Source organism: Homo sapiens, chromosome 10 (genome assembly GCF_000001405.40).
Source record: "Homo sapiens chromosome 10, GRCh38.p14 Primary Assembly".
Lineage (NCBI taxonomy): Eukaryota > Metazoa > Chordata > Mammalia > Primates > Hominidae > Homo > Homo sapiens.
The window spans coordinates 28,192,387-28,217,768 of NC_000010.11; the positions used below are offsets into that span (position 1 = coordinate 28,192,387).

General features: G+C 39.7%; 1 protein-coding gene across 17 annotated transcripts in view, besides 1 other annotated feature; it reads right to left on the minus strand.

Moving 5' to 3' along the window:
- MPP7 (MAGUK p55 scaffold protein 7) overlaps positions 1 to 25,382 on the minus strand; it is a 284,211-nt gene that overhangs the window by 141,394 nt on the left and 117,435 nt on the right. For 9 of the 17 annotated variants that reach the window (NR_134517.2, XM_047424647.1, NM_001318170.2 and 6 more), the window contains one exon: positions 9,767 to 9,885. The exons of 6 other annotated variants lie outside the window; for them this stretch is intronic. Coding sequence is in view for 10 of the 11 variants with exons in the window: in XM_047424647.1 (XP_047280603.1) it covers positions 9,767 to 9,885 (119 nt within the window). In the remaining variant the exon portion in view is untranslated. The remainder of the gene's footprint in view (positions 1 to 9,766; positions 9,886 to 25,382) is intronic. 2 more of the 17 variants (XM_047424648.1, XM_047424651.1) reach the window with 1 other exon arrangement.
- Positions 19,292 to 19,886: an enhancer, noted in NCBI's record as "OCT4-NANOG hESC enhancer chr10:28500607-28501201 (GRCh37/hg19 assembly coordinates)". NCBI's record gives its function as "activates a minimal SCP1, AML or CMV promoter by ChIP-STARR-seq in primed H9 embryonic stem cells {active_cell/tissue: H9 hESC(primed)}" and the evidence as "EXISTENCE:reporter gene assay evidence [ECO:0000049][PMID:30033119]".

Genomic DNA, 25,382 nt, shown 5'->3' on the forward strand with positions numbered 1-25,382 from the left:
ACCTTGGCCACAAGCAAACGATTATAGCAAGGATGCAAGACAGAAGCTTAACATCCAAAAATCAATTGCTTTCCTGTATACCAGTGCTGAACAGCTGAAACTTGAAATTAAAAATATAATACCACTCCAAAGCCATAGCACCAAAAATAATAAAACATTTAGGTATAAATCTAACAAAATATAGTGTGCAGAGAATCTAAATAAGGAAAACACAAACTCTGGTAAAAGAAATCAAACAAGATCTCAATAAATTGAGGAATATTCCATGTTCATGGTCAGGAATACACAATATTACTAAGATGTCATCTCTTCACAAATGGAGCCATAGAATACACAGTCCCAATCAAAATCCCAGCAGATTATTTTGTGGATATGACAAACTGATTATAAAGTTTATATGACAAGGCAAAAGATTCAGAATAGTCAACACAGTATCAAAGAAGAACAAAGTCTGAGGGCTGACGCTACCCTACTTCAAAACTAACTATAAAGCTAAGGTAATCAAGGCAGCATGTGTTGATGAAAGTATAAACAAATAGATAATGGAACACAATTACCCAAAAATAGACCCACAGATATAGAAGCTAATCTTTGACAAAGGATCAAAGGCAATTCAATAGAAAAAGAATGGTCTTTTCAACAATTGATGCTAAAACAATTGGATATTCATATGCAGACATTTTAATCTAGACATAGAACTCAAGGTGGACAATAGAGCTAAATGTAAACGCAAAACTGTAAAACTTCTAGGAGATAACACAAGAATATCTAAGTGACCTTGAGTTTGACAATGAGTTTTTTTGGGTTTTTTTGTTTGGTTGGTTTTTTGTTTTTTTTTTTTTTTGAGACGGAGTCTCGCTCTGTCGCCCAGGCTGGAGTGCAGTGGCACGATCCCAGCTCACTGCAAGCTCTGCCTCTCGGGTTCAGACCATTCTCCTGCCTCAGCCTCCCGAGTAGCTGGGACTACAGGCGCCCGTCACCACTGCTGGCTAATTTTTTATGTTTTTAGTGGAGACGGGGTTTCACCATGTTAGCCAGATGGTCTCAATCTCCTGACCTCATGATCCGCCCGCCTCGGCCTCCCAAAGTGCCGGGATTACAGGCGTGAGTCACCATGACTGGCCTGACAATGAGTTTTTAGATATAATTCCAAAAGCACAATCCATGAAAGAAAAAATCTGTAAGTTAGACTTTAGTAAAATGTGGAACTTCTGCTTTGTGAGAGACACCACTAAGACAATGAAAAGACAAACTGGGAGAAAATATTTGCAAATACATATCTGATAAAAGACTTGCATCTAGAAAATACAAAGAATTGTTAAAGCTCAACAACAGGAATATAAAAATAAAAATAAGCAAAAAATCTGAATAGACACCTCAGCAAAGAAGATGTATAGATAAAAAATAAACGTGTGAAGATATGCTTAACCTACCATGTGCAAATTGACACAATAATGAGATACTACTATACACCAACTAGAATGGCTAAAATTAAAAAAAAAAAAAAAATGACCACACCAAACGCTGACAAGGCTATAGAGCTACAGGGACTCTCACTCATTGCTGGTAGGAATTCAACATGGTACAGTCACCTTAAAAGACAATATGGCAGCTTCTTTTTGTTTGTTTGTTTTTGAAATGTTTTTGAAACAGAGTCTCACTCTGTCACCCAGGCTGGAGTGCAGTGACACAATCTCAACTCACTGCAACCTCCGCCTCCTGGATTCAAGCGATTCTTCTGCCTCAGCTTCTCAAGTAGCTGGGACTACAGGCGCGTGCCACCACACCTGGCTAGTTTTTTGTATTTCTAGTAGAGATAGGGTTTCACCATGTTGGCCAGAATGGTCTCGAACTCCAGACCTGGTGATCCACCCGCCTCGGCCTCCCAAAGTGCTGGGATTACAGGCATGAGCCACCACACCTGGCCAGCAGTTTCTTAAAAAGCTAGTCTTACCACATGATCCAGTAACTGTGCTCCGTGATATTTATCCAAATGAGTTGCAAACTTACATCTACACAAAAACCTGCACACAAATGTTTATAGAAAGTTTACCTGTAACTGCTCAAAACTGGAAGCAATGAACATGCCCTTCAAAAGGTTAATGGAGAAACAAACTATGGTGCTTATCTACAACTAAATCCTATTCAGCAATACAAAGTAAAGAAATGGGCTATGTTGCCATGAGAAGACTTGATGGAGCCCTAAATGCATATTACTAGGTAAAAGAAGCCAATCTGAAAAGGCTACATACTGTATTATTCCAACAATATGACCTTCTGGAAAAGGCAAAACTATTCAGACAGTAAAACTATCAGTGATTGCTGAGCTGGGGAGGGAGGACAGGTAAAGCATGGGAGATTTGGAAACGTAAAACTATTCTTCATGACAATGTAATAATAGATGCAAGACATAATGCATTTGTCAAAACCTGGAAGTATACAACACAAAGAATAAACCTTAATGTAGATAATGGAGTTCAATTAATAATAATGTATCAACCAACATTGGTTCGTTAATTGACAAATGTACCATGCCAATGCAAGAGGTAAATAATAAGAGAAACTGGGAAGGGGAGAAGGGGGATATGGGAGCTATCTGTACCATCTGCTCAATTTTTCTGTAAATCCAAAACAGTTCTACAAAGTAAAGTTTATTAATTAAAAAGAATCCAATGGGAGAAATGATGGGCAAAGGATCCAATTGGACATTTCTCCAAAGAAGACATACAAATAGCCAATAAGCACATGAAAAGATGGTTAACATTATTTAGACATCTAGAAAATGCAAATCAAAATCACAATGAGGTACCACTTCATACCCACCAGGACAGTAAGAATCAAAAAGTCAGATAAAAACAAATGTTGGTGAAGATACAGACAAATCAGAACCCTTATACACTGCTGGTGGGAATATAAAATGGTTCAGCCACTTAGAAAAATAGTCTAACAGGTCTTCATAAAAACTTAGAGCTACCATTTAACCTAGCAATTCCTCTCCTAGATACATACCCAGGAGAAGTGAAAATATACATCTATGCAATAACTTATACACAAATGTTCTTAGTAGCATCACCATAACAGCCAATAGGCAGAAACAACCCAAATGTCCATCCATGGATGAAAGGATGAACGAAGTGTGATATAGCCATACAATGTTATTCAGTCATAAAAAGGAATTAAGTACTGATACATGCTATAATTTGGGTGAGCCTTGAAAACATTAAGCTAAGTGACAGAAGTCAGTTACAAAAAAGCCACAGATGATGCCATTTATATGAAATTTCCAGGATAGGCAAATACATAGAGACAGAAAGTAGACTGGCAGTTGTTTAGGGATGGGATGGGAGAGAGAATGCAAGGATTGAAGAATGATGGCTAGGGGTGAAGGATTTATTTTTGAGGTGATAAAAAGGTTCTAAAACTGATTGTGGGGATAGGAAAAGAACAAAATAAACAAAATAAATAAAATTGATTTTGGCAATGGTTGCACAATCCTGTGAATATACTAAAAACCACTGAATTGTATGTTTTAAGTGGGTGATTTGACAGTAGGTGAATTATATAGCTCAACAAATCTGTTCCCAAAAGAATGTTACCTTCTAAACGTTGATGACTCCCAAATAAGAGCTGTCAGATTTCAGTAATGAAAATACAAATATTGCATGGTTCACACTTATAACAAAGACCATTCATTGCATATCTGAAATTCAACTGTAAGAGGATGTCCTGCATTTTATCTGGCACCCCTACTCCCAAATCTATTCTGTCCAATCCAGAACATAATTATCCTCAGTTCAATATTCACATATCCAGGCCAGATGCGGTGGCTCATGCCTGTAATCCCAGCACTTTGGGAGGCCAAGGCAGGTGGATCACCCAAGGTCAGGAGTTCAAGACCACCCTGGCCAACATGGTGGAACCCATCTCCACTAAAAGTATAAAAATTAGCTGGGCGTGGGGGCAGGTGCCTGTAATTGCAGCTACACGGGAGGCTGAGGCAGGAGACTCCCTTGAACCCAGGAGGCAGAGGTTGCAGTGAGCCGAGATCACACTACTGCACTCCAGCCTGGGTGACACAGCGAGACTCCATCTCGAAAAAAAAAAAAAAAAGATTCACACATCCAATAAGTAGCTCTATTTGATTATGCCCCAGATATCAAACATAACCAAAACTAAAATTACCTCTCATCTCCTCTGAGGAGATGGTCAAAATATATAAGAACTGGTACCTGGTATTGGTATCTTAGGGCTTATACAGGTCTCCTGGTATCCTCTTCCAACCCGCAATGGCCTGGCATAAACAATAGTTGGTGGCTTACAACAGGAGAGTTTCATATTTCAATGAAGAGCCCACAGGCAGATGAGAGCACACTGAACATCAGCCTCCCTCTCTCAAACTAAAATCAGTGGCTCTTCCAACACTTTGCCACCATCATCTCTGACCTGGGAATCTCATGTCCCATCCAGTCTTCACTGTTTACCTCTAAAAGAAAAACCTGATATCTTCACTGTTCTTGAAACCTTTCCATGCAATGGTTCCCACTCTCTTAGAAGAAAGCCCATTTACCTTCTGTCGTTTACAAAGCTATTCAAGAACAGGTCACTGTTCATCTCTCCTGCCACCCTTGGCTGCCCACAGCCTTCCTGGTGTCACAGATCAGCCAAAACAATCTGTTGACCTCAATCCTAAAGGTGGATTGTTCGCTCTTGCCTCCAGGTGTTCGCATCCATTATTCCTTCTGCCTGACCTCCCATGCCCTCATCCATCCCATAAACTCTAACCTGAGCAACTTCCTTTTTTTTTTTTTTTTTTTGAGATGGAATCTTGCTCTGTCGCCCAGGCTGGAGTACAGTGGCACGATCTCAGCTCACTGCAACCTCTGCCTCCCAGGTTCAAGCAATTCTCATGCCTCAGCCTCCCAAGCAGCTGGGATTACAAGAATGTGCCACCATGCCTGGCTAATTTTTGTATTTTTAGTAGAGACAGGGTTTCACCATTTTGACCAGGCTGGTCTCGAACTGTTGACCTCAAGTGATCCACCTGCCTCAGCCTCCCAAAGTGCTGGGATTACAGGCATGAGCCACCACACCCAGCCTAACCTGAGCAACTCCTATACCGAATGCAGGTTCCAACTTAAGATACCAAATCCTCCATGAACCGCCCCCTCTGAGGCTAGTGTTGAGTGAGGTACCTTGTGTCTCTCCTAAAAAGCTCCAAATGAGGCCTATCTTAGAATACTGTAATCATCCATCCCTTCATTTATAAACTCTCTGGGAGACTGGAGCCCCCACAGGCAAGGGATTGTGCCCACCAAGTTGAACATCTTGGCCCTAGTGGTCCATATAGTAACTGGCATAGAGTATGTACCCAACAAATAGTATCAATCAGTCCATCAAAACTCAAAGTTAAATAGATGCTTGAGGTGATGGATACCCCATTTACCCTGATGTGATTATTATATTGCATGCTGGTATCAAAATATATTGTATACTCCATAAAAATATATACCTACTATGTAACCCCCAAAATTAAAAAATATGCAAAGCTAAAACAATGTAACCAGATGTTACAGGGGTCTGAGTATTTATCATTACTTGTATAAGGCTGAAATCACAGAAACACACACAATAATTCAATCATATGAGGAAAATTATCTGGAAAATATCAATTTGGGTTTGTTGAAATACTTCAAAATACCAAAAAGAATAAAATTCAGATTGCTACATTTTTTCCTCCTGTTCCCAAATATACACACAATTACTTTAAAGGGTAGGGGTAAACATAACACAACCATTTAAAAGGTACTAACAATTCCATATTCTTATCCTAGAAATCTAACATAGTTGTGAGTTAAAAACAAAGATTTCTGGAGAAAACAGAACTACAGCCTTATTTAAAAGAAATATAGGCCAGGCGCAGTGGCTCACACCTGTAGTCCTAACACTTTGAGAGTCCGAGGCAGGTGGATCCCTTAGGTCAGGATTCAAGACCAGCCTGGCCAACATGGTGAAACCCTGTCTCTACCAAAAATACAAAAATTAGCCGGGACTGGTGACAGACGGCTGCAGTCCCAGCTACTTAGGAGGCTGAGGCATGAGAATCACTTGAACCTAGGAGGCAGAGGTTGCAGTGGGCCAAGATTGCACCATTACACTCCAGCCTGGGCAACAGAGCAAAACTCTGTCTCAGAGAATTTAAAAAAAAAAAAAAGAAAGAAAGAAATATAGTATTTAAGCAAGTTTTTGTGCCATATCTTGTTCTAAAATGAACTTAAACCAGATTACAAAAACACACAGAAACATAACTAAAAAAAATAAAATGTAAAATAAGTAAAGAGATCTCAATAGGAAAAAAGAATCCACAAGAATAGAAACTACATCTAGAAATGAGGTTGGGATACAAAATATATGGTCCTGGATATTTGCAAGAGATGGGTCCTGGATGCAGCTCTACCCTTGCTGATGGTCTATGCCATTCCCTAGTTCATGTGAATTCTGATATCCTTCTATTTCCACCCTCATAAACAATGTATTTCCATCCCACAGATATGTGTATTTGTCAGTTTTCACATACCTGAGACTGGGTAATTTATAAAGAAAAAGAGATTTAATGGACTCACAGTTCCATGCGGCTGGGGAAGCATCACACTCATGGCAGAGGCGAAAGGCACATCTTACATCGTGGTAAGCAAGAGAGGATGAGAGCCAAGCATAAGGGGTTTCCCTTTAAAAAACCATCAGCTCTTATGAGACTTATTCACTACCATGAGAAGAGTATGAGGGAAACCACCCCCCACGATTCGATTATCTCCCGCGGGGTCCTTCCCACAACACATATGAATTAAGGGAGCTACAATTCAAGATGAGATTTGGATGGGGACACAGCTAAACCATATCAATATGAGACTTCTCAGGCATTCTCTCAGTATCATCTTCCCTCTGATACTTCTAAAGTCTCATGCTCACCGTTTTTATTATTCTTCGTTTCTATTTAGGCGTTTTTCTTTTAAAAAGCATCCTCAGCTAACACCCTAGAGGATCACCATATTTCCTTTTTAGTGACAAGCTCCCAGCCTACATATACTTGCACTGTAGCCAGATACCCCAAGGTGGCTGAATCTGTCACAGAGACTGTATTACTCAAACTTCCTCTTTATAAGTATATTTTTTCCTAGTCCAAAGAGGTCTATGTATTTAAAATTGTGTTGTGATTTACAACCTGCCCCCAAACTTTTTTTTTAAGAGACAGAGTCTCTGTCATCCAGACTGGAGCATAGTAGTGTGATCTCAGCTCACTGCAGCCTTGACCTCCCGGGCTCATGCAATCCTCCCACATCAGACTCTTGAGTGGCTAGGACTGCAGGCATACACTACTATGCCTGGCTAATTTTTAATTTTTTTTTGAGAGAGAGGGTCTTGCTGTGCTGCCCAGACTGGTCTTGAACTCCTGGCCTCGGATTACAGGTGTGAACCACTGCACTCAGCCCATTTAAACACACACACACACACACACACACACGATCACACGATAACAACTATGAAAATTCTGTACTAGAATAAAATCAAGTTTTGTGTTCACTCAGTTCTAAACCACATTCTAACAGCTTCGACTGCAGGCAGAAGAGCATAAAACCAAAGCGATTTTGATTCACTCTACCACAAATCTTTTCATACAAATTCCTTCAGCTCTACCAAGATTTACGTACAAAAGCTGAAGGCTTCTATCCTCCAAGCTTAAATAGACACGCTTGGAATACAGTTAAGCGGTTTGTTCCAGCTGTTTAAAGCTCCAGTCCCAGGAACCTGCCTCCTGAAAGTATTGCAGACTTTACATACTTGAAAACGAATAGAATGGGTCAGTCAAAGGACACACTTGAGGTCTGTGTCTGATAAAAGTTGGGGGTGGGAGGAACTATTAAGACATTGAGAATGTACTAGAGGTACGTAATAAAACTAATTTTGAAAATACATTTTACAGCAATTACTGGAAAACATTTAGAATAGTACATGTGTTATTGTGCTATCTAAATACTAGCAACATGAGTTTATTCGCTCCACTGTTTTTATGAAATCAGATATCAATACCCTCCGCTATGCTTTCTAACCACTTAGTATTGACATATACTTTGAAAAACAGCCTCAGCTTAAAACTCAAGCCAGTGTAACTAAGAATTTGTTTTATGCATTAGTTTCATTCTTTTAATAGAAATAACAACCATCTCTGTAGTTCCTTTTTGGTCTTTAGCGTGCTACGATAATTAACTTTTTCCTCAATACTTAATAATGCCTACTTAAATTTGTCTAACCCCATTATATAACTACCAAAAAACTCAGATCTTCGCTATTTTATTTGAAACTCACAAACAACCCTGTAAACAGATATTATAACTTTAATTTTATAGGTAAGGAAACTGAGATAGTAGCTATTTGTAAATACATACAAATGAATATGCATCCATTGTTTGGAGGCATGCTTATTTAATGATTAAAGGATGATGATGACACCTCAAATATATTTTATTCCTGCTATCAAAAGGTCAACTCAATCTAAATAAACCCATAGCTATCCAACTTCCACACAGTCAACTTAAAAATATTTTTATGATTGTATTACCAAGTCATAAACGTCATCAGTTATAATCCCAAGACCATGCCTAATAAATCCCCAGAGGGCAACTATTATTTAGAGCACAAGGATGCCTTGGAAATTACACTGTTATGAAAAAATAAAGAAATGAACAAATAAACATGGTCTTTAAATGTACTGCTAGGGAAATGCCACATATCAACACTTCCATTTCTTAAGAATTGTCACTGCTGCAAGTACACAAATTTCAGTAAATTTGACAAAAGAAATATAGGAATTCTGTTCTGAAAAGCAATTGCAACTCAGAAATTGCTCATTTTCTAATACTCTATATCAATTAAAAGCCTCTTATCATGACAGGCAGCCATAACAAAGTTAGCTGAATTTAAAAATATAGGTCCAGTTATCATTGAGGCACTGGTTTCTACCTCCTCATAAACTCCAGAAAGACTCTAAATTTCTTTCAGCTTGAGTTAGATGAGAGAAAATGCAATTCATATTTCCAGAAGCACAAGTGGCATATTTTCCAGTAAGCTTCTTGTTCTCATTTTACTATTTTAGGAGTTCTGATCACTCCCAATGTTGCTGTATGGCCAGACCCGATTTCTGCTGGCTGATCATTTTCATGGCATGATGCTTTACTAAAACTGTCTCCAAAAACTGTTTTTACTCACATTCGGCTTCAGTGTATTTATATACAAAATACCACTTCAATGGAGTTCTGCCAATAAAAGGAACAGCTTACTAGAATTTCAGTTGACTTTGTTAAAGGAAATTATTTTAAATTAATGTGGCTACTGAACTGCTGCCATCCTTGACCTCAGAAAATAGATTCCTTCTAATTTTTGCTGTGAACATTTATTTAAGTTAAATTCCAGCTCATGAATGTTGACCGTAAAAGAGTCTAAACCTTCCTGCTACTATTTCATATTCTTTCTCTAAACAAGGGGGTGACCACATGGTTGCTACATTAGTATACAGAGCCAGCTCACCACCATTAAGTGAAATCATCTATGTATTTTTGGTAGAATCTTTAACAACTTCCACGCCCGTCGGTGAATGGAACAAGGCTGTTTTGTTTTCAGAGAGCAACAATTTGATCTCTGGTTTACTTGGTGGTGCCCCAAATATTTTTCCATATGCTTTTCGCAAAGAGAATCTGACATCAGCATGGTTTACCTTTACCAATGAATGCAGGCTTTTTTCACCAAACATATCCCAGAGGAAGGTCAGGTCTTCCTGGCTATCCACATGTGGCTGCAGCTGGGCTGGCAGAGCAGCCAACAGCTCATACAGACCTATAAAATGAAAATAAAACACAAAGTGTAATCTTAGAGTGATCTCATTAATTTCGCCTAAGGTGTGTGTAAATGACAGCTGGAACATGCCAATTTTACTGGATTTGTATTCCGGGCCATCAAGCTAAACACTTCTCCAAAGAACCAAAGGGGAATTTTCTGGCTTTTAAATTCCAAAGCAGTGGTATGTATTAACAGACTCATTTTTACCTCTCACAGTTGTCAACATTCTACAGCCCTCCAAGTTTACATAATCCGAGACAGAAAATGTGTACAGGTTTTCAGAAAAAGAAGAAAACGCATACATTCCTTTCCTTAATCATTATTACATTTCCCTCAATCTGAGCCAAAGAGTGAAATGAGTTATGAATAGGAAAAACTTCCTTAGAAGAACAGAGAATTGATAGGGTGGCCCATTAAAAGGGTTTTGTAGTGTCCAAATAGTTCCTAATAACATATAGTTTCAAAAATACTTGCATTATCTAACATCCAAAAGAAAGTCCTACAAAGTACGGGAAAAGAAATCATAAATGGTTCTACATTACTATAGTCAACTATCAAAAAAAAAAAAGCTACGTAGAACTTAGTTTAAAATTGGGGGATGTAAAGCTTATGTAATACCCTCTGAAAGAGTTAAAGTAACAGATGCGGGTTACTCGTGGCGTCCTCACTAGCCACTTCCTAGGGGCAGACAGTAGTGCAGTGTTCCACGGTAGCGTACTACATAAACCATCCATCTCCATCACAGCCCGTCACACTCCTGTCCAAGAAATGTTGCAACAGTGCCTGCCCGAGACTCTTTAGGGAGGTGACCTGGCAGGAGTCAATATCAACTCATAGCACATGTTTCATTTTCCAGTGGGATTACATGAGGTAAAAAGGACAAAATTCCTTTTATTTCTTGTCTGCTGTCTACAAAAACACCAAGACCTCCTGGGACCTACAACACATGGGACTGTTGTTATTTTTGGTCTGAATAAGTGCTGCTGTTCATCACAGGGACAGCTTTACAAGAGATTTAACTAGCAAAGAATAGTAAATTATGGGCTGATGATTCGTATATCTATTATCTTCCTGAAGCATACTAATTCTGCTTATCAGTGATAACTTACAACCAAAGGCATTAGGTACCATATTGAAAATTAAGATACATAACTTGGGAGATCTGATTAAATTGAAACATTTCTGGGGCCTTATTTGGCCAAAAAAAGCTAAAACAGTCTTTAAAAAAAAAAAAAAAAAAAACCTTCTCTCAATTACATTCTGAAGTATTCTTGGTATTTTACATCTATTCCCTTAAAATCCTGGCATTCTGCCTACACCAGCTCTTATTTACAGTTTAGTAAAATTATTTGTAAGGTATCTCAGCCTAACTCAATCTATAATAATACAGGTTTCATTATATATATGAAAGTAATCAACAATGGCCAAGATCAGTGGTTAAGGTCGGAAGTCAAAATGTGAAATTATGTAAAGAAAGGGTGAAATTTCATTATTTTATTATTGATTTGGGGAGTTGTAAAAATAATTACCTATTCCTTGGTAACATGACTTACAGTTTAATTAAGGAGACTAATTCAACTGTGACATAATTTACATGATAAAAGTTGTCAGGAGGATTAAATGACTCAATACCTTAGAACAGTCCCTGTCACATAAAAAGTACTCAATACATTTCACATGAAACTCAGTAAGTTTCAGCTATTGTCATAATTATTACTGTTATTAATCATATCGTTACAGAAAAAGCAAAAGTGTGGATCAAACACAGCTAGATTCAAACTCAAAGTCTACACTTAGAGCATTTCACGTAACTTAACTGAGCCTTATTTCCCTCATGTGTTTAAAAACAAATGGTAACCTACAGGTGTGGTAAAATCGCATAGCACGGCCAGGCATAATGGCTCACGCCCATAATCCCAGCACTTTGGGAGGCCGAGGTGGGCAGATCACTTAAGGTCAGAAGTTCAAGATCAGCCTGGCCAACATGGTGAAACCCCATCTCTACTAAAAATACAAAAATTAGCCCAGTGTGGTGGCACACACCTGTAATTTCAGCTACTCGGGAGGCTGAGGCAGGAGAATCACTTGAACCCCGGAGGTGGAGGTTGGAGTTAGCCAAGACCACACCATTGCACTCCAGCTTGGGCAACAGAGTGAAACTCCGTCTCAAAAAAAAAAAAAAAAAAATGCATAGCACTAAATACGCAAACACACGGAGACACACACAAATAAGTGCATATAAAATGTGAAATCTGAAAAGGTCAAAGGATTGTACCAATGGCAATTTCCTAATTGCAAGACTCTATTATAATTATGCAAGATGCTACCATCGGAAGAAAGTAGCTGAGGGGTACATGAGATCATAACATCAATCTACAATTATCTCAAAATAAAATGCTAACATAAAAAAAATTATGGCAAACACGGTTGTTGTAAGAATTCTATAGAGCAATTCATATGGCAGCATTTAGCCCTGTGGCTGGCACAGCGTAGGCAGTCCGTTGCTTAACATGTCTTCTTCTAGAATGAAAATGTCATTTCAATTCAATGGTTCAAAGTCAAACAATAGCTTAGCTGTATATTGCAATTGGATACAATACCATACTCAGAAATAAAACCACGCTAGTCTTTTACATATGGAAAGTGTTAACTTTACCCAAGTACTGCTTACATTTTGTGGGAATAAGCCATATTATATTTAAGTTTTTATAAAAAATAATTTTTCTGTTAGCAGAAGCTCATAAACCAGAGTTCTCTGGTTTTTACTAGTTTTATGTAATCCTAACTAATATCCCACCACAGTTTGGCACTCTAGTAACAAGAGCCGTACCTTCCCTTCAACTACCACATCTGGTAACCATGACCACAGCAAGAAAAGACAGCACAGTGCCAACCAGAAATTAAAGACATGATTAAAGGAGCCACCAGGCCAGAGCCGTGTGCAGTCTCCATGAAGGTAAATAATATAGACAACTACTTCCACTCAAATGAATTATAAGGGCCCTAGAAACCATCTCTGGCCATGCATAAAATGGGGCCTGTGTTTTAACATGTTTTTTAAAATACTCCTATACTCAGTTCCTAAAGTTCTAATGGTGAAGAGTTTTGTGAAATCCAAATGGTTTGGGTCATGGAGATTCAAGGGCAAATGATGAGAGTTTAGATAGCAGCAGATATTTTTTAAGAATTTACCTAAATCTACTTGGTCTTTGGGCAAGAACTGAGACAATGAGATACCCTATACTCTGTAGTCATTCAAACTCATTGATTCCAGTAAACAGTTATGGTAGCTATGAATGAAACACTCCTCAAGGCTCTAAAGATCTAAGAAAAATCAGTCACAGCTCCTGTCCTCAGGAGTTGGCAGTGCAGCAGACAAGCACAGACAGGTCTATTCGTAAGTCCAGGACAAGGTTAGAGTGCTGCGGCAATGGCAAGGGAAGTGGTCAATTCCTGCAAAGGACGAAGAAGACATCAGGAAAGTCTTCAGAAAAGAAGTAAACACTTGAGTTAGGTCTTTGCTGTGGTTTGAATGTGTCCCCTAAAAAGCATGTATCAGAAACTTAAACCCCAATGCAAGAGCGTTGGGAGGTGGAGGCCAGTGAGAGGTTATGGATAGATTAATGCCATTATTGTAGGAGTGGGCTCATTATCTTGGGAATGGGTTCATTATATGAAGGTGAGTCAGTCTTCTTCTCCCTCTCTTTGCCTTTCTGCCATGGATGACACAGCAAGAAGGCCCTCATCAGATTCTGGTTCCTCGATCTTGGACTTCCCAGCCTCCAGAACTGTGAGCCAATAAAATTCTGTTCATTACAAATTGCCTAGTCTGTGGTATTCTGTTATAGCAGTACAAAACTGACTAAGACCCTCTTTAAAGGCAAAGTTCCTAAGAATCAACATTTACTGAGTTCTCATATTCAGGGTACTATGCTTGTCACTGGAGATACAACTTATAGAATATATGACTATCTCTGCCCCCAGAGGTCTTATCATCTTAGATGACACAGAATATGCCCCAACATAAAGCAATCCTAAATATAAGGCTCTCTTATTTGCCCAAGAAAAGATCCAAAACACATTTTCTTTCAAATAAATACATGAACATTTAATGTGACAATGAAATACATACCTAATTAATTATTAACATCTGTTTATGTCTAATAATTCAAATATCTAATTGACTTTTACAGATGTTGATAAAATGCTCATGCCTGCTTCTAAAATTTACATTGCAGTTTAGTTAGGAACACATACCTTAAATTACCTATGAGGTAAAATATATTAATTTAGATATTAGGTTTGGGCCCCACTTGCATATTTCATGAAATTGTTTTATTTAAATTATTTACAATAACTTTGTAAATAATTTAAATTTCAGAGTTAAAATACATCATTTTCATTTCTAGATAAGCTATAAGCTGTTTGAGATGGAGCATATTTTTGATTATTCGTGAGATGCTGTCATGGGAAATCTACATAAAACTGATCGGTTTTTCATTTGTCCTGTAACTGTATAGTTTTTATCTCTACAACAGAACCACTAAGCTACTCTTTAAGTATCTTTAACGTTGGCAAATGTGAGGTCACAACCTTTCCCTAAGGAATAATAATTAAATCTGGCTTAAACTTCTTTGCAACGTTTTTTTTCTCCCATTGTCTTGATGAATAGTGTCCTTTTTTAAAAAACAATTCTGTCAGGTGGCCTCTAAAACCATACCCAAAAATTTTGAATTTAGGTTATATGAGAACAATGTGCCTTCTCCATTCAACAAATTTTTGAGTAAGTGAAATAACAGAAAGTTACCTATAAGAGATTTTGTAAGAACTTCAATATAAAGCAGCTCTCTCTTCTCTGAGAAAGAATTTTAAGGAGGAAAAAAAATCTCACCTTATATTTGGGTACATGGAATAGACACTGTCAAAGATGCAGGTGAAGCATTTCAATAAAATTATTTCATAAAATTCTCCAGTATATAAAAAGCAATATTTTTTAATTTGCATATTTTATAACTGAAAAAAAAAGAAAGCACCACAGCAAAACTAAAATATGTCAAGGGTCAGTTGATTGATACGTACAAGAACTGTAATAATTTAAAGATGAGACCAATCATTGAAGGTCAGAAAAGGTTATATTGGGGGCTGGGCACAGTGGCTCACTCCTCTCAGCACTTTGGGAGGCCAAGGCAGAAGGATTGCTTGAGTTACAGACCAACCTGGGCAACACAGTGAGACCCTGTCTATATAAAAAATTTAAGAAATTACCCGGGCATGGTGGTGCACACCTGTAGTCCCAGATACTCAGGAGGCTGAGGCAGGAGAATCACTTGAGCCCAGGAGGTAAAGGCTGCAGTGGTGTGGTGACTATAATCACATCACTTTACTCCAGCCTGGGCATCAGAGTGAGACCCCATCTCAAAAAGAAAAAAAAAAATGAAAAAAGAAAGAAAAAGAAAAGGCTATACTGGAACTTGCAGGACTTGAGCTAGGATCTGAAAAAGGAAAACAGAACCTGCAAGGGTACATTCTAGGTTGGAGAACACCCAAGGTGGAAAGGCAGTTATAATCACATAAATCTATAGATTTTTAAGTGCACTAAATTTCCGTAAAACTGAAGAAAACACTAGTGATTTATCAAACCCTAATTTCTGCCTTTTATGTTTGCATCAGTCATGGTCCAACCTGGAGACAGGAGCTCTGCAGTAATTTGAACAGAGAAGCTTAATATAAATAATTATTACCTATAACAGGGGCTTATCTGTAAAGTCAGAGAGAACTCTAAAGAATACCTAGGACTGAAGGAGATTTTTTCCTGTTATCCAAGGAGAAAACAACCTTGGAAGAGGACTCCCTCCCCAAGGCTAAGACTCAGAGCTCACAGGAGAACGTGTGTTTGCAGCTCACAAGATGGTTGGGTTCCTTGGGCCAAAGATTCTCCATTATCATTGAGCAGGCAAGAAACACCCACCTCCAGGATGCAAGTGGACAAGAAACTGTGCCTGGGACTAGCAAGCAGGAAACACTTCTCCAGTATACAGATGGTTTGAGGCTGGCAGGCAGGAAACCATTTTTAGTCCTGGCATAGCAGGACTAAAAAGCCAGAAATATCCTGGGGGTGTATATAACAGTGACAGGAACTGTCAAGCAAACACCCCCTCCAGTACATAGGCAGGGTGAGGCTAGGAAGTTGACCTCTGGGATGCCCACAAGACTCACTGGGAGTCTGCCCATGGGCGTGTCACTAAAACTCAAAGAGGATAACTACCACTGGATACTCCCACAAGTGCTGTTAGAAATCCTATGAAAGGAGAAAGAAAAAGCAAATAAGAAAACACAAGAATAAGGAAGAGATGCCTCCGCCTCCTCTTGCATTGTCCCATCCAGTGCCCTCATCTGACAAAACTTAACGTCAGGCCAGCAGCAAAAGAGAAATACTTAAAGGGCCTAGCTCTATCTTCATAGTGCAGACAATGAAGTATGAATTTGGAGCTAAGAGGCAATAAAATGATAACTGGCTCAATCTTCTATATGGAGATTTATGTATGTACATATGAGGCTGATATAGTTTAGGTATGTGTCCCCTCTAAGTCTCATGTTGAATTGTAATCCCAAATTGGGACCTGGTGGAAGGTGACTGGATCATGGGGGTGGATCCCTCATGGCTTGAAGCTGTCCTCAAGACAGTGAGTGAGTTGTAGTGAGACCTGTTTGTTTAAGTGTGGCACCTCCCCCCACTCACTTCCTTTGCCCCTACTTTCACCATCTGATACACCTGCTCCCCATTCACCTTCCACCACTATTGTAAGCTTCCTGAGGCCTCCTCAGAAGCAGATGCCAGCTCCATGCTCCTGTACAGCCTGCAGAGCCGTGAGCCAATTATACTTCTTTTCTTTATAAATTGCCCAGTCGCAAGTATTCCTCTAGGGCAATGCAAAGAACGACCCAACACAGAGGCCGAGGCAGGAATATCGCTTGAGGCCAGGAGCCTGGGACAAGCCTGGGCAACTTAGAAAGAACCATCACTACCAAAAAAAAATTTTATGTTAGCTGAGCATAGTGGTGTGCACCTCTATAGCACCAGCTACTTGGGAGGCTGAGGAGGGAGGATCCTTTGAGCCCAGGAGTTCAAGGCTGCAGTGAGCTATGATTGCACCACTGCACTCCAGCCTGAGTGACAGAATGAAATCCTATCTCCAAAAAAAAAAAAAAAACTATGTGTGTGTCTCTTTCTGGGGGAGAGGAATATTGTCTTTCTGCTTTGTTTTCGATGTTCTTTCTGTTGTTTGGCATTGGAGATACAATGAAAAATATTTAGTGATTAGTGAAAGTAAAGGTTTTTCTAATACAGATTTGAAAGGGAAATACTATTACATCAAAGGCTTGTATTGACAATGTTTGCCTGTCTTAACAATATGCTAAGCCTGACCCCAACAGCTCAGGTGGAGCACTAGGCCAAAGTTCTAAGTTCAACAAATGACAAATAAACAGTCTTGAGATGGTTAATTTTATGTGTTAATTTGACTGAGCTAAGAGATGTCCAGATAGGTGGTAAGACATTATTTCTGGGTATGTCTGCACGGATGTTTCCGAAAGAGATTATCCTTTGAATTGGTAGACTCAAGAAAGAAGATCTGCTCTCACCAACATGGGCAGCATCAGCCAATCTCACTGAGAGTCCAAATAGATCCAAAAGGCAGAGGAAGGGCAAATTCCCCCTCACTCTTATTGAGCTGGGACACCCATCTTCTCCTGCCCTCAGGTATCAGGCTTCCTGGTTCTTGGGCCTTTGTGCTTTGATACTTACTTATACTGCAGCCCTTTCCCTTCCACCCCATAATCTTGGCTCTCAGGCCTTCAGACTCAGACTGAGTTATGCCACCAGCTTTCCTGGTTCTCCACGTTGCAGATGGCAGATCACTGGACTTCTCGACCTCCATAATCACGTGAGTGAATTCCCATAATAAATCTCCTATAAACACACACACCTATATAAGTCAGTTGGTACAAAAGTAATCACAGTTTTTACTACAATGCCAAAAACTGCAATTACTTTTGCACCAACCTAATATATACCTGTCTCCATGTGTGTACGTATGTGTGTGGGGATGTATATTATAATATCTCCTATTGGTTTTGTTTATTTGGAGAACCCAAACACAGCTCTTTTCTATCAAAAGAGCACTCTCTTAATTTCAACTTTCTCATAAATGTATGAAACTTATAAGAGAAGGTCAAGATAGATTGTGGTTTTCTAACATTAAAATAACATAAAACCCCTAAACATGGAAAAATGATAGAAAGTACATAGTGGGCAAAAATTTTAGGGGCTAAGAAAGGCGCTTAAAATTAAAGGAACTAATTGCAAAGACACATAAAGATGTTTTGAGATTTTTAAACAGGTTACCAAAGCCTGCTCTGTGGAAAATAAATGTTGTAACCTATTCTCCCTTTCCAGAGGAATTTTATATGGCAAATTCTGGCTGTATGAAATTATAAAAAGTAATATACTAATGAGAATGCTTTCAGTACAATATAAATACCTCACTCTGTGAGCCGGTTCATTAAGCCATCTCATATGTAAGACCATAATCTTAATTTAACTACACTGACTTATTTATTTGATGGGATTTAAATGTGCTGTAGCGGGCTTCCCTCTATCCACACTATACTAGACGATAAGTACATGTGCCACTTACTTTTTGTTAAAGATAAAAACTATATGCTTTGAGATCACTGAGTTATTTAATTGGACTTAAATAATATGCCGTGATCATCTTCCTGAACCCATGCTACACTGCAGGAGAAACATATGTCACTGTCTCACTGTCTTTTCTTTTTTTTTTAGATGAGGTCTCACTCTGTCACCCAGGCTAGAGTGCAGTGGCACGGTCACAGCTCACTGCAACCTTGAACCCCTGGGCTCAAAGGACCGTCTCACCTCAGCCTCCCTAGTAGCTGGGACTACAGGAGTACACCACTGCACCTGGTATCATTGTCCTTACAGATAAAGGTATATGTGCTTTTCCCCTCTAACGACTTACAATCAGGGTATGTTCTTGGGGCTTTAGTAGCCCTGGGCAACACACTGAGATGGTATGTATTTTACACACACTTTTAGATACTCTGATGCTTTGAGCAACTTCAAGTTGTCTTGCAGTATATTTTTTGCCATATATATATATATATATAGAGAGAGAGAGAGAATTACTGTAAAACTAAAGTCATGTTTTCTATCAGAATATTATCTTTATATAAGATATATATAACTAACAGGCAGGTGAGTTGACCAAGGATTGGGGAAGATAGACAACCTGACCTATCTCATAAGGAAATGTATTCACATTGAGTAAACAATTCACCCAAAGTTATAATTCATTAATCAGAAGATAATTACAAGCTGTCATCATTTCGAATTAATAAGATTGCATTATCTTTTAAGAGTATATAAACCACCAGAGTACATCAGAATACTTTTAACTGAGGAAGATGACGGGCAAGGAGTCCCATATGACAGGAGCAGAGGGAGCAAGAAGAAGAGGGGATATAAGGAAGGATATGGGAGCCCAGATCACACAGGGCCTGAAAGGGCAAACACGAGAAGGAGCTTCACTTTTACTTTAGAGTGAAAGAGCCACTGCAGAGTTTTGTGTAAAGGGGTGATTAGATCTAACTTACATTACAAAAGCATCACTCAGCCAGGCGCAGTGGCTCGCCTATAATCCCAGCACTATGGGAGGCTGAGGCAGGAGGATCATGTGAGCCCAGGAGATCTAGGCTGTAGTGAGCCATGATTGCACCACTGCTCTCTGGCCTGGGCAACAGAATGAGACCCTGTCTCGTAAAAAAAAAAAAATAAATGAGTGAATGAATGCATCACTCTGGCTGCTGAATTGAGAACAGATCGCAGGAAGCCGAGGGCCGAGGCAGACAACTATATGGGAAGATCAAACACAGCAATCCAGGGCAGAAGGTGAGGGTGGCTTGGGCCCATGCAGTAGCCAGGGGAAGTTGTGAGAACTACACAAGTTCAGGTGGATTTTCAAGGAAGAACTTAATATGAATTTCTGTCTGACTGAATGAGGGACATGGGGGAAAAAAAATCAAACATAACTCCAACAGTTTTTGAAGTTGCCATCACCTATAATGGGGAAGTTCAGCCTTAGACATACTGAATTTGGAATGTCGATTGGATACCAGTGGAGATGCAGTGGGCAGTTGAATATGGGGTCAGCAGGTCACCAGACTGCTCTGGACTGAAAACTTAATCCCTGGGAATCACTGGCACATGATTTGTACTTAAAGCCATGAGGTAAAATGAGATCCCCAGGAGCATGAGTGTAGACACAGAAGAGAAGAGGAGGCAGGGGACTGCGCCCTGAAGTCTCCAAAGTTAGGCGATGCAGAAGAGAGGAGGGACCAGCAACCACTCCGAGTGCTGTAATCTCACGTCCTAGAAAGAGAGTGTCAAGGAAGAATGAACCATCCACTGTGTAAACGCCACTGATAAGCAAGTACAATGAGGACTGAGAACTAAGCGTTGGATTTAGCAATGCGCAGGGTACTGACTACCTTTGGCAGAGTGACAATGTAGAAGACTGAATGAGGAGCACTAAAAAATGGGAAGACAGAGGAGAGAGCAAATACAGACAACTCTTAGAAGGAGCTGGGTTTGATTTTTTCCTAGAGATAGGGTCTTGCTCTGCCACTCAGGCTGTAGTGCAGTGCCATGATCAGAGCTCAGTGCAGCCTTGACCTCCTAGGCTCAGGTAATCCTCCTGCCTCAGCCTCCCGAGTAGCTGAGAATATAGGCATGCTCCCCTAGATGTGACTAATTTTTAATTTTTTTTGTAGTGACAGGGTCTCGATGTTGCCCCAGGCTGGTCTCAAACGCCTAAACTCAAGCAATCCTCCCACCATAGCCTTCTGAAGACTTGGTTCAACAGAGAATTGATCCTTGTACGGGAAGTGGGGTAAAGAAGTTTTAGCTGGAGCTGTCATTCAGTAGTTGTGAAGGAACAGGGTCAAGCGCGCAGGTGGATTAAATCCAAGAGGGCAGCTCCTCTATGGTCCCACAGAGGAAGGCAGGCAGCAGATGCCCCACGTGGGGCAAATGTGGTTGAGGGAACATGTGATAATTCCCTGAAGATTGTTTCGCTATTTTCAGTAAACTAGGAAACAGGGTTTCATGCTGAGAGTGAGGACATGGAAGAAAATGTTTGCATTTAAAAGAGAAGGTTGGGCTGGCTGTGGTGGCTCATGCCTGCAATCCCAGCACTTTGTGAGGCCAAGGCGGGCAGATCAAGAGGTCAGGAGTTCAAGACCAGCCTGGCCAACATGGTGAAACCCTGTTGTAAAAATACAAAAAAAATTAGCCAGGTGTGGTGGCACATGCCTGTAACCCCAGCTACTCAGGAGGCTGAGGCAGGAGAATTGCTTGAACCTGGGAGGTGGAGGCTGCAGTGAGCCCAGATCATGCCATTGCACTCCAACCTGGGCAACAGAGTGAGACTCTGTCTCAAAAAAAAAAAAAAAAAAAGAGAGAGAGAGAGAGAGAGAAGGTTGGTCAGAGCCTCTGGGTTTCCCAGAGGGAATGAAGGATCCAGGGAAGTCATAAATTGGTATACATTGTTGGCAATATGAAAATTGAAAGCTTGCATTCTCTTTGATCTGAAATTCACCTTTATTCACTCATTCATTACAGCTCTAGGTGGCCGAGAGCCTTCTATAGTAGGATCCATATCTAACTGTTATCAATGTTTAATCTGGAAGAAAAACCAAAAGGAACAGGAGACAATTACTTTCATTTTTGCCATATATATTTCTACACTGCTTGAGCTTTTACAAGATAAACAGCAGTTTTATAAATTTCCAAATTGCATTTTTATGTAATAATCTGCTGTAAACCTTGTTTTCAGCAGTATAGTTTACAACTTCTCCTCAAATTCTTTTCCAGCCACAGTGAATTGTTATTTGCTGTACCCTGAAATTACAACTGTATCCAGGAAACTTTACACCAATTCACCAGATAATTAATTTCCTGATGACTGCTACTGCTGTCATGTTCCCATTCTTCAGGATCCCTGAAACTACCTGAAAGATGAAAGAAGCATGGTAACATGCTTACATCAAAGTTTCATTAACAGGTTTAACTTAACACACTTGCCAACATTTCAAGAGGCGTGTTTCGGAAGCTGGCAAGCTCCCAAGTCCCCTCCACACTTCAAAACTCCTCTTGAGCCTTTCTCATCCCTACCCCACAAACACCGAGTGCTTACTATCTATGTGCCAGGCACTATGAAGGGCTGGAGATGCCGTGACGATGAAACCGCCTTTGCAAAAGTATAACTGAGGAAAGTATGACAGTGAAAGAAATCAGACCTAACCGACTCCATCTTGTTTCTAACCTTTAAGCTGTCCTTGTTTGTTCTTGGGCATAGGCTGAACTAACTTTGGGAAGGGATTCAGTTCATGGTTTGACTCTGAAGCAAAACTGATAATAGCCCTTTCCCAGAAAGACCCCCTTCTTGCCTGGGGACCAGTCCACCTTGCAGTACTAACAAATTAGCTACAAGATTAGAAAGTACAGTGTAGGGGTCATGCAGCCTCTGGTTCCAAGAGTCTGAACCTCTCCACGTGGCTCCTGGGGGTAACATCACTATTGAAAAATCTAAGATCAGTGCTTGAGATATTTTGTAGACCCTGCACTCGATGGATCAGCTGACACCACCCAGACAGGTAATCTGGCTCAACCAGTTCTGCCATCTCACCCAGGAACAGAAAACAGCAAGAAAACCTCACTTCAACCCCCTATTATTCCATCTCCAGCCTGAACAATCAGCACTTCTCACTTCCCAAGCCCCTACCCAAATTTCTTTAAATTATCTTTAAAAACTCTGCTCCCCAGTGCTCAGGAGATTGATTTGAATAATAATAAAACTCCGGTCTCCTGAACAGCCAGCTCTGTGTGAATTACTCTTTCTCCATTGCAATTCCCCTGTCTTGATAAATCAGTTCTGTCTAGGCAGTGGGCAAGGGAACCCATTGGGCGGTTACAAAGAAGGGAGGAAAAAAAAAATAAAAGCAAACACAAGTTTTTTCCCCAGTGTAGGGTAGCAGCCAGATATCGATAATCATGAAAATAAATGCAAAGTGACAACTCTGAAAAGCCCTATACAAGAGGAGGTTGTTGCACCAGGAAAAGTATAAGAGAGAGAGATGTGAACAACTCAGGGACAGCGTTCTCGAGGAAGCGACAATTATGCTGGGATCTGAAGGAAGCACAGACATTAACTTGGAGGTGCTGAAGTGAGGAACAGAAAGAGAACCGCACTTACAAAGGCCCTGGGGTAGCATGCTTAGACTCTAGGCTCATGCTTAGACTCTAGAGCCATGCGACATAATTACAAATCCCAGCTCTGCAACTGGGCATATTGGTAAACATCTCTGTGTATCCATTGTTTATTGTGTAAAACAGGTATAGTCATGCTAACCTTACAGAATTGTTATAAGGGTTAAATGAGTTATTTGTAAAGCTTACAATGATGCCTTGCTTTGCTGAACAACTTATGTAAGCATCTTTTAAATAAAAATAATTCCAAATTAAATGCTAAAACTTATTAAGTATGTCCAAGCATTAAGGAGGCAGATGACAAAATGTAAGTTTATCCTGCTGGATGCATTAAGGGGAAAAGAAAGCTTTCACAATAGGCAATAAAGACAGGCAACAACAGACCCCATGTATTGGGTAGAGTGAACTGAGAGATGAGAACTTAAAAATGTGATCACACCTGCCGCACCCTCCCCCAATTGACCTTTGGCCAGGCACAGTGACTCACACCCAGTAAACCCAACACCCAACACTGGGAGGCTGAGGCAGGAGGATTGCTTAAATCCAGGAGTATGGGACCAGCCTGAGCAACATAGCAAGACCCCGTTTCTAAAAAAAAAAAGGAGGATTGCCTGAGCCCAGGATTTGAGGCTGCAGTGAGTCAAGGTGGTGCCACTGCACTCCAGGCTGGGCGACACAGTGACACCTTGTCTCAAAAAATTAAAATTTAAAAACAACTTTCAATATAAAGATAATGCAACATATATTTGCAAGAGACAACTATAATTTTGGTGATATCAATAGTATGTATCTATTAACAATATACTGACAATATTGGCTGATGTAAACTGTACACCAGTGCACATTCTATATCAAAATCCAAACTGAGACTCCAGGGAACCAATCATTTGTCATTAACACTAACCACACTGAAATAGTTGCAGAGTCATTTTAGACAATGTTTCAAGTGATACAGAAAAATAATATTAATCCCTTTATTGAGGTAATTAGAAATAATTTGCACTTTCCTCCAGACTACCAGTGTTAGACATAATAAACACACACACTGGAGATGACCAGCTATGGCATACAGATGTGGGCTTATTGAAACAATTATTACTCAGAACAGACCTGCTGACAACAAATGTGCATTCAAATTATTCGATCTGTCTGGATCTCTGGGTCCCTAACTCTTGAAGTGACAGCACAAAACAGTTCATTAGATATAGGGTCAATGTTGTTAGTATTAAGCATTGTTATCCTCATTTTTTTTTTTGGCAGAACGAAAACTTGGAAAATCCTGGTTACATTCAGAGATGGTGGCAAAAAGAGTCAGCAATATAATTCATCTAGAAGTATTTTTAATACTCAAAGTCTTGATTTTGAGCCTTTTAACATTAATTCTCCCAGCAATTTTTCTAAAATTTCTGGATGTAATTAAGATATTCAGAAAAAAAATGTAGAGAACTCATGCTTGCAGGTTCCTGTTTATAGTTTCAGTGCTTTAAAGTTTTTAATACACTTTTATCTTCCATTTCAAAGGCTATATTAATTATATAGGAAAAAGCTGACAGAATTTGCAACTCAACAAGGCTATCCTTTAGACAAGGATATAACATACTCAGAAGTCAGAAAAACTGAATTAGTCTGGGCCCAGTGGCTCATGCCTGTAATCCCAGAACTTTGGGAGGCCAAGGCAGGTGGATTGCTTGAGCCCAGGATCTTCAGACCAGCCTGGGCAACATGGTGAAACCCTATCTCTACTAAAAACACAAATATTAGCTGGGTGTACTGGTGTGTCTGTAATCCCAGCTACTCAGGAGGCTGAGGCACGAGAATCGCTTGAACCCGGGAGGCAGAGGTTGCAGTGAGCCGAGATCGCACCACTGCACTCCAGCCAGGGTGACAGAGTGAGACTCTGTCTCAAAAAAAAAAAAAAAGAAAAGAAAAGAAAAGAAAAGAAAAACTGCATCAGGGAAGAACTTTTAACAAAAAAAGTCACAAAAAAAGGCTTTACCATTTGCTAGGAACCATTTCACAAAACCCACCTTTATTATAGAAATTATCTTCTGAATTACTAAGATGAGGCAGGGGAAGGGAAAAGGAAGTAGTAAGAAAAAAGAAGCCAGGAAACATATTTTCTTCCTAAAAAGATGAGAATAAAGTC